We start from the raw sequence: 13,562 nt of genomic DNA, 5'->3' as shown, positions 1-13,562 counted from the left end.
AGCAAAGTTACTTGACCTCTGCCTCAATTTCTCATCTGTAAAATGGCAGTGATAATCTTACTACCTCATGTGATTGGAATGAGATTAAATGAGCGAATTCATGAAAAAAACGTTGAAGAGTACCTGGAACACTGTAAAGCTATTGGCTGTTTTTTTAAATTTTTTGTGGGTTTCTTTTTGTAGAGATGGGGGTCTCACTATGTTGCCCAGGCTGGTCTTGAACTCTTGGCCTCAACTGATCCTCCCACTGTGGCCTCCCAAACTGCTGGGATTGCAGGCATGACCCACTGTACCCAGCTGGTATCAGCTGTTTTCACTTGCATTCTCTGTTTCTTCTCTTGAATATTCTTGCCATTCAGGTGCCAGCCCACACACCACCTCTTAGAGAGGTCTCCCTTCCCTGGTAATGAGGTTGAAGTGGCCTCTGGCCCCCAGCCCCTCTCTGAGGCTATTTTATCTCATTCCTGTGGCACCTACCGTGGCCTGAAATGATCTTGCTTGTGTATGTGGTTATGGTTTTCTCTCTGTTCTCAAGGGCAGAAGCCATTGCTGGTCACGGTCACTGCTCCATGCCCAGTGCCTAGCACCGAGAAGTCCTTTGATATCCATTTGTGGGCATGACGCTCACCCTGTCCCTGAGAGCTGGACCCAAGGAAGGAGCAGGACCCCCTCTACTTTACAGCCCATGCCACAGTTAAGCTGCGGCTACTTTGCATCTGCCCTGTGTGATCTTGAGTGAGTCATCGACCCTCTGAGCATCTGGGTGAGTGGAGGGAGGTGGCAGATGGAACTAGGCAATCAAGGGACACTTTAAGATCTTCTAAGACAACTTGTTTTATGTGCTGGGCCTCATGTCCATAAGGTAAAGGAATCTTAGGGACCTCCATGTTCTAAAAATACCACCACCTCAGGCCTAGCCGTCCCTGTGGCCACTGGGCCAGAAGCCCCCACTGATGGTGACACATTTCCATGAGTTAGGCATTGTCTGCTTCAAGGCCCTTTTTGTACAAAACAAAGTCACTGGGCCCCATGTGGCCACATTCCCCAGGGACCAGCCTGCCACCTGGTGGCAGCTTGATTACATTGGCCTCTTCCTCATAGGTGGGGCCCAGGTTCATGCTCACTGGAATAGACACATATTCTAGATGTGGATTTGCCTTCCCTGCCCTTCATCCTTCTGCCAGCACCACCATCTGTGTACTCACGGAATGCCTTTTTTTTGGCATTTGCACAGCCTGGTGTGTGACCAAATAACTCATTTCACAGCAAAGGAAGAGAAGCAGAGGGCTCAGGTTCACGGAATTCAAGGGCCTTGTCATACACCCCATTCCTGGTACCAATTCTAAAACATTTCATCCTCATCACCACCCCCTTCCACTGCTGAGGTAACATATTCCATGCCTCACACTTTCATTAGTAGCTTTGTTTCTTCCTAGGTCCCCCTGCAACTTTACAGAATAAGGAGAGACAGAGGAATTGGGGCCTTCTCCATGCAGGTCTCTGCCCAGCCCAGGGCCAGGAAACCTTGTATCCCAAGAAACAAGCTACTTGGAATCACAGCATGTCTGATGAAAGGCCCTCCCAAGTCATTTAGTCCAAGCTCCCATTTTACAACTGAGGACACAGGCCAAGAAAACGGAAGTGGCTTGCCCAGAGGCCCATGGTGAGAGAGTGACAGTCCTGTCCGCTCTAGCTCCCCACCCTCTCTTGGGAGTTTGGATCTGCGGGTTGGGCTACTCCAGAGAGAGCCCACAGGGCTGAGGGTCCTGTTGTCCATCCCTGGGAGCAGGGTGCCTGCATGTCTCTTAGCTGGCATCCCTTCCCCCGCTTCTGGGGTCCTCCAGTCCCCTTCTCCTCAGATACTCCACTCCCAGGCAGGGCCTCAAGGTCACTCGTCTCCTTGCAGTCAATCTCCCACCCTTGGCTGCCTCACTTCCTGGGCTTACACTGCACTCTGCCCCCCGCCAGCATTGGCTCCAATCTTTACTGTTTCTTTACCCACCCCCTAACCCTCCTCACCCCAAAGCAGCAGAAGGCCCCTGGCTGGGCTGAGCTACACCCACCCACGTTGAGGTAACATCCTCCAGCTCTTGTTCCTTCTGCGATAACCAGGGGTTACCCCATGGAAGAACACACCACAGGGAACTGGTTACCCACCAAGTTTGCAAGGGGGCTCCGGCTCCCACTGATGGAAGGCTAGGATGTGGATATTTGTAGGGAAGCAGAACTGTGTTCTAGGTGGGGGACAAGCGTGAACAAGGACCTGCATCTGGTTGGAGTGTGTATGTTGAGGGGTGACTAGGTCAGTGGGGTGAAGGGTAGGGAGAAAGTGGGGACAGGGCAGGCAGAACATGGAGCCAAAGACCTGGCTGATTACAGGGTGCATCCTTGCAACCCTGTTGTTGGGGCTGACAGATGGGCTGGGACAGTCACAGAAATGGAGAAGCAAGCCTCTTCACGGGCACCACGGGGCTTCCACAGTGCATTTTGTAGCTTATGAAGAGTGCTTTCCCACATATGAAAAAACGTTAGTAACATATCCAATTAGTGATCCTTTATCCTTGGGCGATACATTCCAAGATCCTCAGTGGATGCCGGAAACCTCAGGTAGTGCTGAAAACATACTGTGTTTCTTCAATCTGATAACTCTGAGGCCTACTAAGTGACTAACAGGTGGTAACATTTACAGCGTGGGGAGGATTCATATCCAGGGAGGGATGGAGAGGAAGGGCAAGAGATTTCATCATGCTACTCAGAACAGCATGCAATTTAAAACTTATGAACTGTTTATTTCTGGAATTTTCCATTTAATATTTTTTTGGACCTCGGTTGGCTGAAGGTAACTAAAACCTCAGGTAAGGGGAGACTACTATAGACCAATGGAACAGAACAGAGAATCTAGCTACGTGCAGTGGCTATTGCCTGTAAGCCCAGCACTTTGGGAGGCTGAGGCAGGCAGTTCCCTTGAGCCCAGGAGTTCAAGACCAGCGTGGGCAACATGGTGAAACCCTGTCTCTACAAAAAAAAAAAAAAAAAAAAAAAAAATTAGCTGGGCATGGTGACACACCCCTGTGGTCTCAGCTACTTTGGAGGCTGAGGTGGGAGAATCAGTTGACCCTGGAGGTTGCAATGAGCTGAGAAGGCACCATTGCATTCCAGCCTGGGCAACAGAGAGAGACCCTGTCTCAAAAATAAATGCATAAATAATTTTTTAATGCTTAAACTTTTACTTTTCTTATTTAGGTCTTTAATCTATATGGAATTCATATTTTGTATATGATGTGTATGTAATAGGGGTCTAATTTCTTCTCCTAATGGTTAATTCAATTTCTTAGCACAATTTACCAAACAGTCCATGCTACTGCCTCCTTGTATCTCCACAAACACAATGTTTCCTCTGATGTACACCATCTTTAGATGTGTGGGTCAGTTTCTGGCCTATTTCATGTTCCATTTGTCTGTCTTTAGGCTGATATCGGGGGCTGTCTTATATACCCGTCTCACACTTCTTCAGGAGCAACTTGGTCATCCCATATCAGTGTTCCTACAGGTGTTCACTGTAAAATTCTTTCAATTTTTCTGGAGAAAAAAGAGTGTTGTGGCTCATCTGGCCCAGGTTGGAGTGCAGTGGCACCATCTCAGGTCACTGCAAGCTCCGCCTCCCGGGTTCACGCCATTCTGCTGCCTCAGCCTCCCGAGTAGCTGGGACTACAGGCGCCTCCCAACATGCCCGGCTATTTTTTTGCATTTTTAGTAGAGACGGGGTTTCACCTTGTTAGCCACGATGGTTTCGATCTGCTAACCTCATGATCCGCCTGCCTCAGCCTCCCAAAGTGCTGGGATTACAGGCGTGACCCACCGCGCCCTGCCCACCATACAATTTTTAAAGGCTCAGGTTTCAGACTGAGCCAGCTCCCAGCAGCCCCAACCCTTGGAGAAACGGACAAGTTTTAGAACAGTAGTGGAACTTCCACATTCCAGTAGACATTTGAGTTATTTGCTGGGGGTGAGGCAGTGTTGATTGTACATGGTGCTTATTTATTTATTTATTTATTTAGAGACGGAGTTTCACTCTTGTCGCCCAGGCTGGATTCCAATGGCGCGATCTCGGCTCGCCGCAACCTCCGCCTCCCGGGTTCAAGCGATTCTCCTGCCTCAGCCTCCTGAGTAGCTGGAATTACAGGCATGCGCCACCACGCCCGGCTAATTTTGTATTTTTAGTAGAGACGGGGTTTCTCCATGTTGGTCAGGCGGGTCTCGAACTCCCGACCTCAGGTGATCCGCCCGCCTCGGCCTCCCAAAGTGCTGGGATTACAGGCGTGAGCCACCGCGCCCGGCCTATGGTGCCCATTTCACAGATGAGGGAAGTGACCCAGCCTCTCGGTCCCACTGAGGCACTGAGTCCCTGCCTGCTTCGTTTTGCCTTGCCCCCCAGCCCCTTTCCCCTGCCCCTCTATCTCCCCTGTCGGCTTCCCACGCCAGTCTCTGGTTCTCTGCCTCCTGCTGTTTAGTGGGGTCGAGACAGGGAGGACCGGGGAAGAGAGGGATGTGACTTGGCCCTGGCCACCCCGTGGGTCCACGGGGCTGCCGCAGAACAAGGGCCTGCCACCAGGCCCCTTAGACATCCCTTGCTCCTGCCCTTCTCAGGCTCTGATCGTGTCTCTGCTCCCCCAGGTCGCCCTTTCCAACTATTTTCCTGTCTGCCCCGCTGACGCGTCCGCTGCCGAAGCACCTCCTCTCTCTGACTTTCCGCCTTCCCGCTGCGACCCCGGTTTTGCCCCTCTCCAGCTCCCTCAGCCGCGGGCACCTGAGCTCTCCGCGGCCACCAGGGGGCGCCCGCGGCCCAGTCTGGGCGCGAGAGCCGCCAAGCGCCCACTCCGTTCCTCCTGGTGCCCCGCCCCGTCCGGCCGCGGCCCCGCCCCTCCCGGCGCCCCGCCCCGTCCGGCAGCGGCCTCGCTCCCTCCGATCCCCCCCGCGCCCGGGACCCCTGGCCCCACTGTTGGGCCAGCTCGCCGGGTCCGGCCATGGGCCCCGCCGCTCGCCCCGCGCTGAGATCGCCGCCGCCGCCTCCGCCGCCGCCTCCGTCTCCGCTGCTGCTGCTGCTGCCCCTGCTGCCGCTGTGGCTGGGCCTGGCGGGGCCCGGGGCCGCGGCGGACGGCAGCGAGCCGGCGGCCGGGGCGGGGCGGGGCGGAGCCCGCGCCGTGCGGGTGGACGTGAGACTGCCGCGCCAGGACGCTCTGGTCCTGGAGGGCGTCAGGATCGGCTCCGAAGCCGACCCGGCGCCCCTGCTGGGCGGTCGTCTGCTGCTGGTGAGCGCTGCTGAGCCATCTGGCCGCATCACTAAACCCCTCTCTCAACCCTCCCTAGAGACCCCGCACCCTGAACCGACGTTCATCCTCCACCAAGCCTTGAGAGTCCAGCGCCCCTCCCCAGGCTCCCCAGGCCCCCAGCATTCCGGCTTCCCAAACCAGAGAGCCAGATGCTCTGGGAACTCTGGCCTTGGCATCCACTGTGATGACCCCGGCTCCCTCCCCCACCACACCCTACCTCCCTCTGCTCATGGCCCCTTGCCACACAGATGGACATCGTGGATGCCGAGCAGGAGGCACCAGTGGAAGGCTGGATTGCAGTGGCATACGTGGGCAAGGAGCAGGCGGCCCAGTTCCACCAGGAGAATAAGGGCAGTGGCCCGCAGGCCTATCCCAAGGCCCTGGTCCAGCAGGTGCAGGGGATGTCTATGGGGGAGGGGGCTGGAGGAAAGGATTCCAAGGCATCTGCTAGAGCCAGGCCCTCCTTAGATGGGCCCTTAAGAGCTTGCAGAGAAGCCCTAGGCCTGGTGGGTCAGGGCACCCCAGTTTGAAGAATGGAGTCAGTATGGCTTCGAAGCAGGGAGGTGAGAGGAGGCCAGAGAGAGGTTGAGAAGCTTGACCAGGCTCTGAGAGTATGGGATGGGGGAGCTGCTGCTGACGACCACTGCTGGGACTGCCCTGATAGGACCGGGGAAGGCACAGCGCATCTGGAAGGGAGGCAGGAGGAAGAAAGCAGTTTCCACCTTTGACCTCAAGGAGCTTATGGCAGTCTGTCCAGAGTTTTGCTCACTGCAGGGCCAGGAGCTAAGAGCAGCTAGGGCTGCAGGTGGTGAGACAGGTGTGCAGGCAGGGTATATGCTAGCCTCTCGCCTTCTATCCCTCTGCAGATGCGGCGGGCCCTCTTCCTGGGTGCCTCTGCCCTGCTTCTTCTCATCCTGAACCACAACGTGGTCCGAGAGGTAAATCGGACCAGGCCGTGAGGGTAAGCAAGCTGGGGAAAGGGGGACCCAGGCCTGCTGACCTCCTTGTCTCCCTGCAGCTGGACATATCCCAGCTTCTGCTCAGGCCAGTGATCGTCCTCCATTATTCCTCCAATGTCACCAAGCTGTTGGATGCATTGCTGCAGTGAGTTGGTATTTAGACTTCAAAGGACTGACCCTGGGTACAGAGAGCCCCTGGTTCTCCCATGGACTGAGGGGGCTTGGGACCAGGGCCTTACCTGTTAGCCTTTTTTTTTTTTTTTGAGATGGAGTATCACTCGTGTTGCCCAGGCTGGAGTGCAGTGGCGCAATCTCGGCTCACTGGAACCTCTGCCTTCCAGGTTCAAGTGATTCTCCTGCCTCAGTCTCCCAAGTAGCTAGGATCACAGTCATGTGCCACCACACCCAGCTAATTTTTTGTATTTTTAGTAGAGACAGGGTTTCACCATGTTGGCCAGGCTGGTCTTGAACACCTGACCTCAGTTCCACCTGCCTCGGCCTCCCAAAGTGCTGGGATTACAGGCAGGAGCCCCCGTTGCCACTGCTGCTGCTGCTGCCCCTGCTGCCACTGTGGCTGGGCCTGGCAGGGCCCGGCCTAACTGTTAACTTTTTTTTTTTTTTTTTTTTGAGATGGAGTTTCGCTCTGTCACCCAGGCTGGAGTGCAGTGGCGCGATCTCGGCTCTCTGCAAGCTCTGCCTCCCGGGTTCATGCCATTCTCCCACCTCAGCCTCCCAAGTAGCTGGGACTACAGGTGCCCACCACCATGCCCGGCTAATTTTTTTGTATTTTTAGTAGAGACGGGGTTTCACCATGTTAGCCAGGATGGTCTCGATCTGCTGACCTTGTGATCTACTCGTCTCGGCCTCCCAAAGTGCTGGGATTACAGGTGTGAGCCACCGTACCCAGCCAACTGTTAGCTTTAAGACTGCCCTCTCGGCTGGGAATGGTGGCTCATGCCTGTAATCCCAGCACTTTGGTAAGCCAAAGAAGGAGTATCACTTGAGTCCAGGAGTTTGAGACCAGCCTGGGCAACATGGCAAGACTCAGTCTCTACAAAAAAATACAAAAATTAGCTGGGCATGGTGGCACATGCCTGTAGTCCCAGCTAATCAGGAGGCTGAAGTGGGAAGATCACTTGAGCCCCGGGGGTAGAGGCTGCAGTGAGCTGTGACTGTGCCACTGCACTCCAGTCTGGGTGACAAAGGGAGACCCTGTCTCAAAAAAAAAAAAAAGAAAGACTGTCCTGTCCCAGGCTGAAAAATGGGTGAGGGGATGGGAAGGAGGTGCCAGAGCCTGGAGCTTGGAGCAAGGAAGTGGCTCTGTGGGCAGAGAGGACTGGCCCCAGCAAGGAGGAAGATGGACTTGCAGGCTTCCCTGGCCTGGCTGGTGTGAAAATTGGAAAAACCAATAGAGGGAAAAGGCCTGGGGCAAAGTGTAAGGCCAGCAGGGGCGACAGTCGTAGGTATCCTTTTCCTGCAGAGCTGGGGTGGGTGGGTCTGGGCCTCCCTTCCCAAGAGTCCTTCCATCTGGCCCCGGTGACTTCCCCTCCCAGGAGGACCCAGGCCACGGCTGAGATCACCAGCGGAGAGTCCCTGTCTGCCAATATCGAGTGGAAGTTGACCTTGTGGACCACCTGTGGCCTCTCCAAGGATGGCTATGGAGGATGGCAGGACTTGGTCTGCCTTGGAGGCAGTCGTGCCCAGGAGCAGGTGGGTGCTAGCAGATTACATGGGGCCTAGGGAAAGGAGGCTCGTGGGGCCATATACATGGCTTTGTATTGAAAATCCTGTGGCTTCTCCCCACCTTAGTGACAAGGACGGCCTTTCCCACCCCACAGGAGTGCTGTGAGTGTTCAGAGACATGGTGTAGGTGGGCGCTCAGTTGGGGCGCCTGGGCCAGGTCACATGTAGTCAGTGTTAGCTGCCGTCCTCATGTTCTGCAGGCATTGGGAAGCCTTATTCCACTGCCTGTAAAATTCAGACCCCTCTGCGTGGCTTTCCCAGCTCTCTGCATCACTCACTCACTCTATTTTTCTAGTCCTTTTTCCTATGCTCTGGCCACCCTGTACCAATGACTGCATATGCCCAGGCCTTCTGCCACTGGGCCTTGTCTACACCTGGCTGTAGACGTGGACACCTTTTCTGTGTCCACACGTCCTAGTCTAGCTAGAACCTTCACAACTCATCCTGCCACGTTTCTTTGGAAAGCCTCCCTCCCACCCCAGCTTGAAGTCCCCTCCCTCTCTCTCTCTTTTGTATCACAACAAGGCGTGGTCAGGCCGTCCATGGGCTTCTTGGGACAGCCCATCCTGCATGTGATGAGGCGCGTCACTTTGTCTCCTGACAGCCAGGACTGTGTTTTATCGTCTCTGGATTTCCAGCGCTTGGCATCAGGGCATTCAAGGGTATTCTGTCCACAAGCATTTCTTGAGTCCCTACTCTGCTGGGCAGTCACGTCCCGGTCTCCTGGTGTACAGCCTCCAGCAGGTGTTGGCCACCGTGGGCTGTGCAGGGCAGCTTCAAGTGGGGCAATCTTGGGATCAAATCCTGGCTTGGAAACCTTAGCTGGCTGGTCTCAGCTGGGAGTTTCACCTCTCTGGCCTCATGTTCCTCATTTGCAAACAGGGACGGTACTCTGTGTATCCCTGTCATGGGTGGCCCACACAGGCCTCTGGACAGGGCAGGCATTGGTGAGAGGCTTGGGGTGGGGCTGAGCGCAGTCTGCAGGTGGGTCTGGCTGCTCAAGAGGGCAGACCTGAGCAGCCTTGGCCAGGCTGCAGGCTGGGGTCAAGGTGGTCCCAACCCAAGTATTGGGTGGCCATGGCCACTAAAGTGTCTGAAGGGTGGCTGGAGGAGGCATCTCAGTGGCTGGCCTGATGGGCATCGGGCTCTCAGTCCTGACCCCAGGGCCCAGTCACTGTGCCTCCAGCCTCTGGGAGTCCAGAGCAGCAACACTCATGTATCAGGAAGGTCTGATGAACAGCAGTGGCACGATCTTGGCTCACTGCAGCCTCGACCTCCTGGGCTCAAGTGACCCTGCCACCTCAGTCCCCCAAGTAGCTGGGACTACAGGCACGTGCCACCATGTCTAGCTAATTTTTGTATTTTTTGTAGAGATGGGGTTTCACTATGTTGCCCAGGCTGGTCTCGAACTCCTGAGCTTAGGCATTCGGCCCACCTCGGCCTCCCAAAGTGCTGGGATTACAGGCGTGATGAACCACCATGCCCAGCTAATGAACAGTCCTTACTGCTCTGATGGCAAGCTCCCATCCTGCCCTCCATCCTCACCTGGGGCTCTGCAAGGTGTGTTCCCCAAGATGCACTGAACCTGGGGCACATAGGGCTCCCCAGGATGCAGTGAGCCTGGGGAGGCTGGGTCTTTGGCCTGCAGCGGAGCTTCAGGCCGGCCACACTTTCAGCCCACCCAGCTGGCTGCTCTGAGGCATGGAGCTCTACAGCAGGCTCTGCCCTGGAGAGCTTATGCCATAATGGCCACTTAGTCCTGGCATGGGGCTCAGGGGAGTGTCACTTTGTCTCCTGACAGCCAGGGCTGTGTTTTATCATCTCTGGATTTCCAATACCCAACACTTGGCATCAAGGGCATTCAAGGGTATTCTGTCCACAAGCTTTTTTTTTTTTTTTTTGAGACAGAGTTTCGCTCTTGTTGCCCAGGCTGGAGTGCAATGGCGCAATCTCGGCTCACCACAGCCTCCGCCTCCCAGGTTCAAGCGATTCTCCTACCTCAGCCTCCCTAGTAAGCGGGACTACAGGCATGCACCACCACACACAGGCTAATTTTTTGTATTTTTAGTTGAGACGGGGTTTCTCCATGTTGGTCAGGCTAGTCTCGAACTCCCAACCTCAGGTGATCCGCCCACCTCGGCCTCCCAAAGTGCTGGGATTATAGGCATGAACCACCGCGGCTGGCCCCCAAGCATTTCTTGAGTTACTTCTCTGCCAGGCAGTGATGCCCCGGTCTCCTGGTGTACAGCCCCCAGCACGTGTTGGCCAACGTGGGCTGCTCCAGCCCTGGGCTCATGGGGGCCCAGTCTGGAGAGCAGATAGGCCAGAGACATGCTGTCACTCTGCTGGGGTAAGCACAGAGCTGGTGGTGGCCCCGGCACCCTCTAGGGCATGATAAAGGCACTCAGCCTGGAGCTTGGGGACAGCTTCCTAGAACAGGTGGCACTGCCCAGCTGCAGCTGGAGGAGAGAAGAGAGCAGGATGGAGAGGGGAGCTGGGGCTCACAGACACTTCCCAGTGAGGGCCCCCAGAGCACCTCCACTGTGAGCAGAGCAATGGCTTGTGGCACTAGCAGCACCAGGCTTGTCTAGAGCGGTGGCCTCTTCATATCAGATCATTTCTCAGCCCCTCTTCCCCACATGACGGTAGATGAGCTTCAGCATCGGTCGGGGAAGAACACGATGGCAGAGCAGTACTCAGCTGCAGAGAGCTTTGAAGTGAATGCACGTGTTAGTCCTAACACATCCACAGACCCTGTGCAGAGGCGCACCTGGAGGGAGCGTGCTGTGTTTTGCTTACTCCGCTGCGCCATCTCCTGAGCCAGCTGTTGAGTAGTCAGAGCGCAGCAGCCACACCGCATCTGGGGCAAGTTGAGTCAAGATCATTGTGGTTCCCTCAGTCACTCTGAGGCTGCCCAGGGGCCCGGGGCCCCCAGGCTTTAAAGTGTTCTCTCAGTCATGTTTCCTTTCCAAATTCACTCATTCCACAAAGATGGTGGGAGGTACTGGGTTAGAGTGGTGACCACATCAGCTATGGTTACCTCCCACCGATGGGAGCGCACAGACCCCCAAGGGCAGCTGCAAGGGAACGCTGGGTAGAGCGGGTGTGAGGAGGGCGGGGCAGCGGGAGGTTAGGGGGGCGCATTCACCCAGCCATAAGAGGTCAGGGAGCTTCTAGAGCAAGATGTGGTGGAGGCAGTAGCCGAGGAAAGGGATAAGGTGGAAGAGGGTTCCCAAGACAGGGAACAGTGTGGAAAGGCACAGACACTGAGAGGAGGCAAGTGGCACTGCAGGGAAGGAGCTCAGGCAGGGGAGCTGCAGGGCCTGGTGTGCAGGGGAGAACCCTCTGACCGTGGGTGGGAAGTGGGTGGCAAGGAGGGCATGAGACCCACCCCCACCCAGGAGAACGAAGCAACAGGCCTTGGGGGCTGGCTCCCTCCCGTACAGGGGGGTGCGAACATTCAGGCTGGATGGGTGAGTGGCTGATGGCAGGGCCTGAGAAAGCCGACCAGGAGGAAGTGCAGGAGGATGGGGGTGGGAGAGTGAGCAGGTCCCAGGCTGGGTGCTGGGTTGCTGGGTGCTGGGTTGGGGAGTCTCTGAGGCTACCAGATAGAAGCTTCTGTGTATGCAAAACATCAGGTTTGTTGCCCAGAGAGCCCTGGGCTGGGAATGGATGTGGCTCTCCTTGGAGCTGGATGGGAAGACGTGTAGGGCAGAGTGAGTGATCCTGAGAAGCACACAATGGAAGAGACGGAGCCTTCAGAAGAGGAAGCTGGGGACTGCAGGGACACAGAGGCCGTCAGCATACCTCACCTGCCTGCTCCCTGGCGTTCCTGGGGGTAGATGTTCCTAAGGGAGGCGTGTGGGGGTGGCCCCATGTCCCTGATGACTGCTTCCCTCCCCAGAAACCCCTGCAGCAGCTGTGGAACGCCATCCTGCTGGTGGCCATGCTCCTGTGCACAGGCCTCGTGGTCCAGGCCCAGCGGCAGGCGTCGCGGCAGAGCCAGCGGGAGCTCGGAGGCCAGGTGGGAGCCAGCCCCAGGGAGCCCCAGCACCCTCAGCCCTTGGACCTGCAAGACTGTGCCCGTCCTCTCCCCACAGGTGGACCTGTTTAAGCGCCGCGTGGTGCGGAGACTGGCATCCCTCAAGACACGGCGCTGCCGGCTGAGCAGGGCAGCGCAGGGCCTCCCAGATCCGGGTGCTGAGACCTGTGCGGTGTGCCTGGACTACTTCTGCAACAAACAGGCTAGTGCCCCGGGTAGAGACCAGCCATCAGCTCACCTGTGATGCCTCCCACCTTACTCCTGGGACCTTGGAACCACCACCACCAGGCCCTTCTCCTTCAGCCCCCAGGGCCACAGAGCAGAATTTCAGGGGGGTGGGGGAAGCCGTGAGGTTTCAGTTCCCCAGCTGAGGCGAGGGGCATGGGACCAGGCACCCCCACGTGGAGTCCTGCTTCGGTGACCTGAGCCCTTCCTCCCCCACCCCTGTAGTGGCTCCGGGTGCTGCCCTGTAAGCACGAGTTTCACCGAGACTGTGTGGACCCCTGGCTGATGCTCCAGCAGACCTGCCCACTGTGCAAATTCAACGTCCTGGGTGAGCACCAGGGGTGGGGTCCCTCGGCCTACTCTGCCTGCTCCTCACCTGATGCCTCTCTCCCTGTTCTTCTTCCCCTCCCCTGCAGGGAACCGCTACTCCGATGATTAGCTGCCCAGCTGGACTCTGCACATGGGGATGGACCCTTCCTGCCTGCACCCCGGTCCTCAGCCTGGGCTCCCAGGACAGGACAGGATGGGACAGCAGGATAGACAGGACAGCAAGCCCAGTGGGTGGGAGGAAGGATGAGGGCCCCACCATGTCCACACTGGGAAGGAGGGCCCCACAGCTTCAGACTGAGGATCTAGGGCTGGGACCTGTCAGTCAAGGAAGAGAGGTCACTTTGGGACCTTCTCTGCAATCCTGTGACGTGAGTCTGCCCTCCTTACAGGCAGCTCCCAGGTCAATAAGGAAAGAGAATATGGGGCCAGTGTAGCTGTCGCCAGGGTTCTGGGAGCTCCCTGTGGCCTGTCTGGGAATTCCTGGGGGCTGAGACTACAGTGGCCAGGTTTTGTGCTTATTTATTGGGGGGTGGGTTGAGGGAAGAGCTATCTGGCCTTGGGGTACCCTGGCCTGACCGTCTTTCAGGATACTTCTTGTCAAGGCTGTCTGCCTGTTGCCTTTGGTCCTCAAGCACTGGGAGCCATGGGTCCCACTGCCTGTCCAGCCTGGCTCCCTTCCTGGGCCTGGCTAGGACCAGAGGTCTTAGAAACCGTCCTGTTCTGGAATCCTTGGCTGCGGCTTTGTGTTGCTGACCGGGATACTCGAAGCCACAGGATCAATGTGGTGCCTCATCCAGGGGCATCCTTTTTTTTTTTTTTTTTTTTTTTTAAAGAGTTGGAGTAGGGAAGGTTTAATAGTAAAATAAACGTGGCTATATTTTAACATAAGATGTAAAATGTGTATAGGTGTTTTAAGATTTTAAAAAGTTACCT

The 13,562-nt window shown here is 56.3% G+C and overlaps 1 protein-coding gene across 1 annotated transcript, besides 2 other annotated features; it reads left to right on the top strand.

The window, feature by feature from the left end:
* Positions 645-834: an enhancer, noted in NCBI's record as "active region_18837". NCBI's record gives its function as "activates an Ori minimal core promoter by ATAC-STARR-seq in GM12878 lymphoblastoid cells {active_cell/tissue: GM12878}" and the evidence as "EXISTENCE:reporter gene assay evidence [ECO:0000049][PMID:35858748]".
* Positions 4,828-5,187: a silencer, noted in NCBI's record as "silent region_13610". NCBI's record gives its function as "represses an Ori minimal core promoter by ATAC-STARR-seq in GM12878 lymphoblastoid cells {active_cell/tissue: GM12878}" and the evidence as "EXISTENCE:reporter gene assay evidence [ECO:0000049][PMID:35858748]".
* On the top strand, positions 4,927-13,517 carry RNF215 (ring finger protein 215). Its single transcript, NM_001017981.2, has 9 exons — positions 4,927-5,309; positions 5,579-5,722; positions 6,197-6,268; positions 6,349-6,434; positions 7,843-7,999; positions 11,937-12,056; positions 12,133-12,276; positions 12,525-12,627; positions 12,716-13,517. Exons 1-9 carry the CDS (start codon positions 5,025-5,027, stop codon positions 12,736-12,738), a joined length of 1,134 nt encoding a protein of 377 aa, NP_001017981.1. The 5' UTR covers positions 4,927-5,024; the 3' UTR covers positions 12,739-13,517.
* Positions 13,518-13,562: the final 45 nt, after the last annotated feature.

Source organism: Homo sapiens, chromosome 22 (genome assembly GCF_000001405.40).
Source record: "Homo sapiens chromosome 22, GRCh38.p14 Primary Assembly".
NCBI lineage: Eukaryota > Metazoa > Chordata > Mammalia > Primates > Hominidae > Homo > Homo sapiens.
Note: the sequence above shows the minus strand (reverse complement) of the source record. Positions and strands in the feature narration are given on the sequence as shown.

Coding starts and splice junctions, on each gene's coding strand:
- RNF215 (NM_001017981.2), top strand. CDS start 5,025: ATGGGCCCCGCCGCTCGCCCCGCGCTGAGATCGCCGCCGCCGCCTCCG. Junction 5,310..5,578: donor TGGGCGGTCGTCTGCTGCTG/GTGAGCGCTGCT, acceptor CTTGCCACACAG/ATGGACATCGTGGATGCCGA. Junction 6,269..6,348: donor ACCACAACGTGGTCCGAGAG/GTAAATCGGACC, acceptor GTCTCCCTGCAG/CTGGACATATCCCAGCTTCT.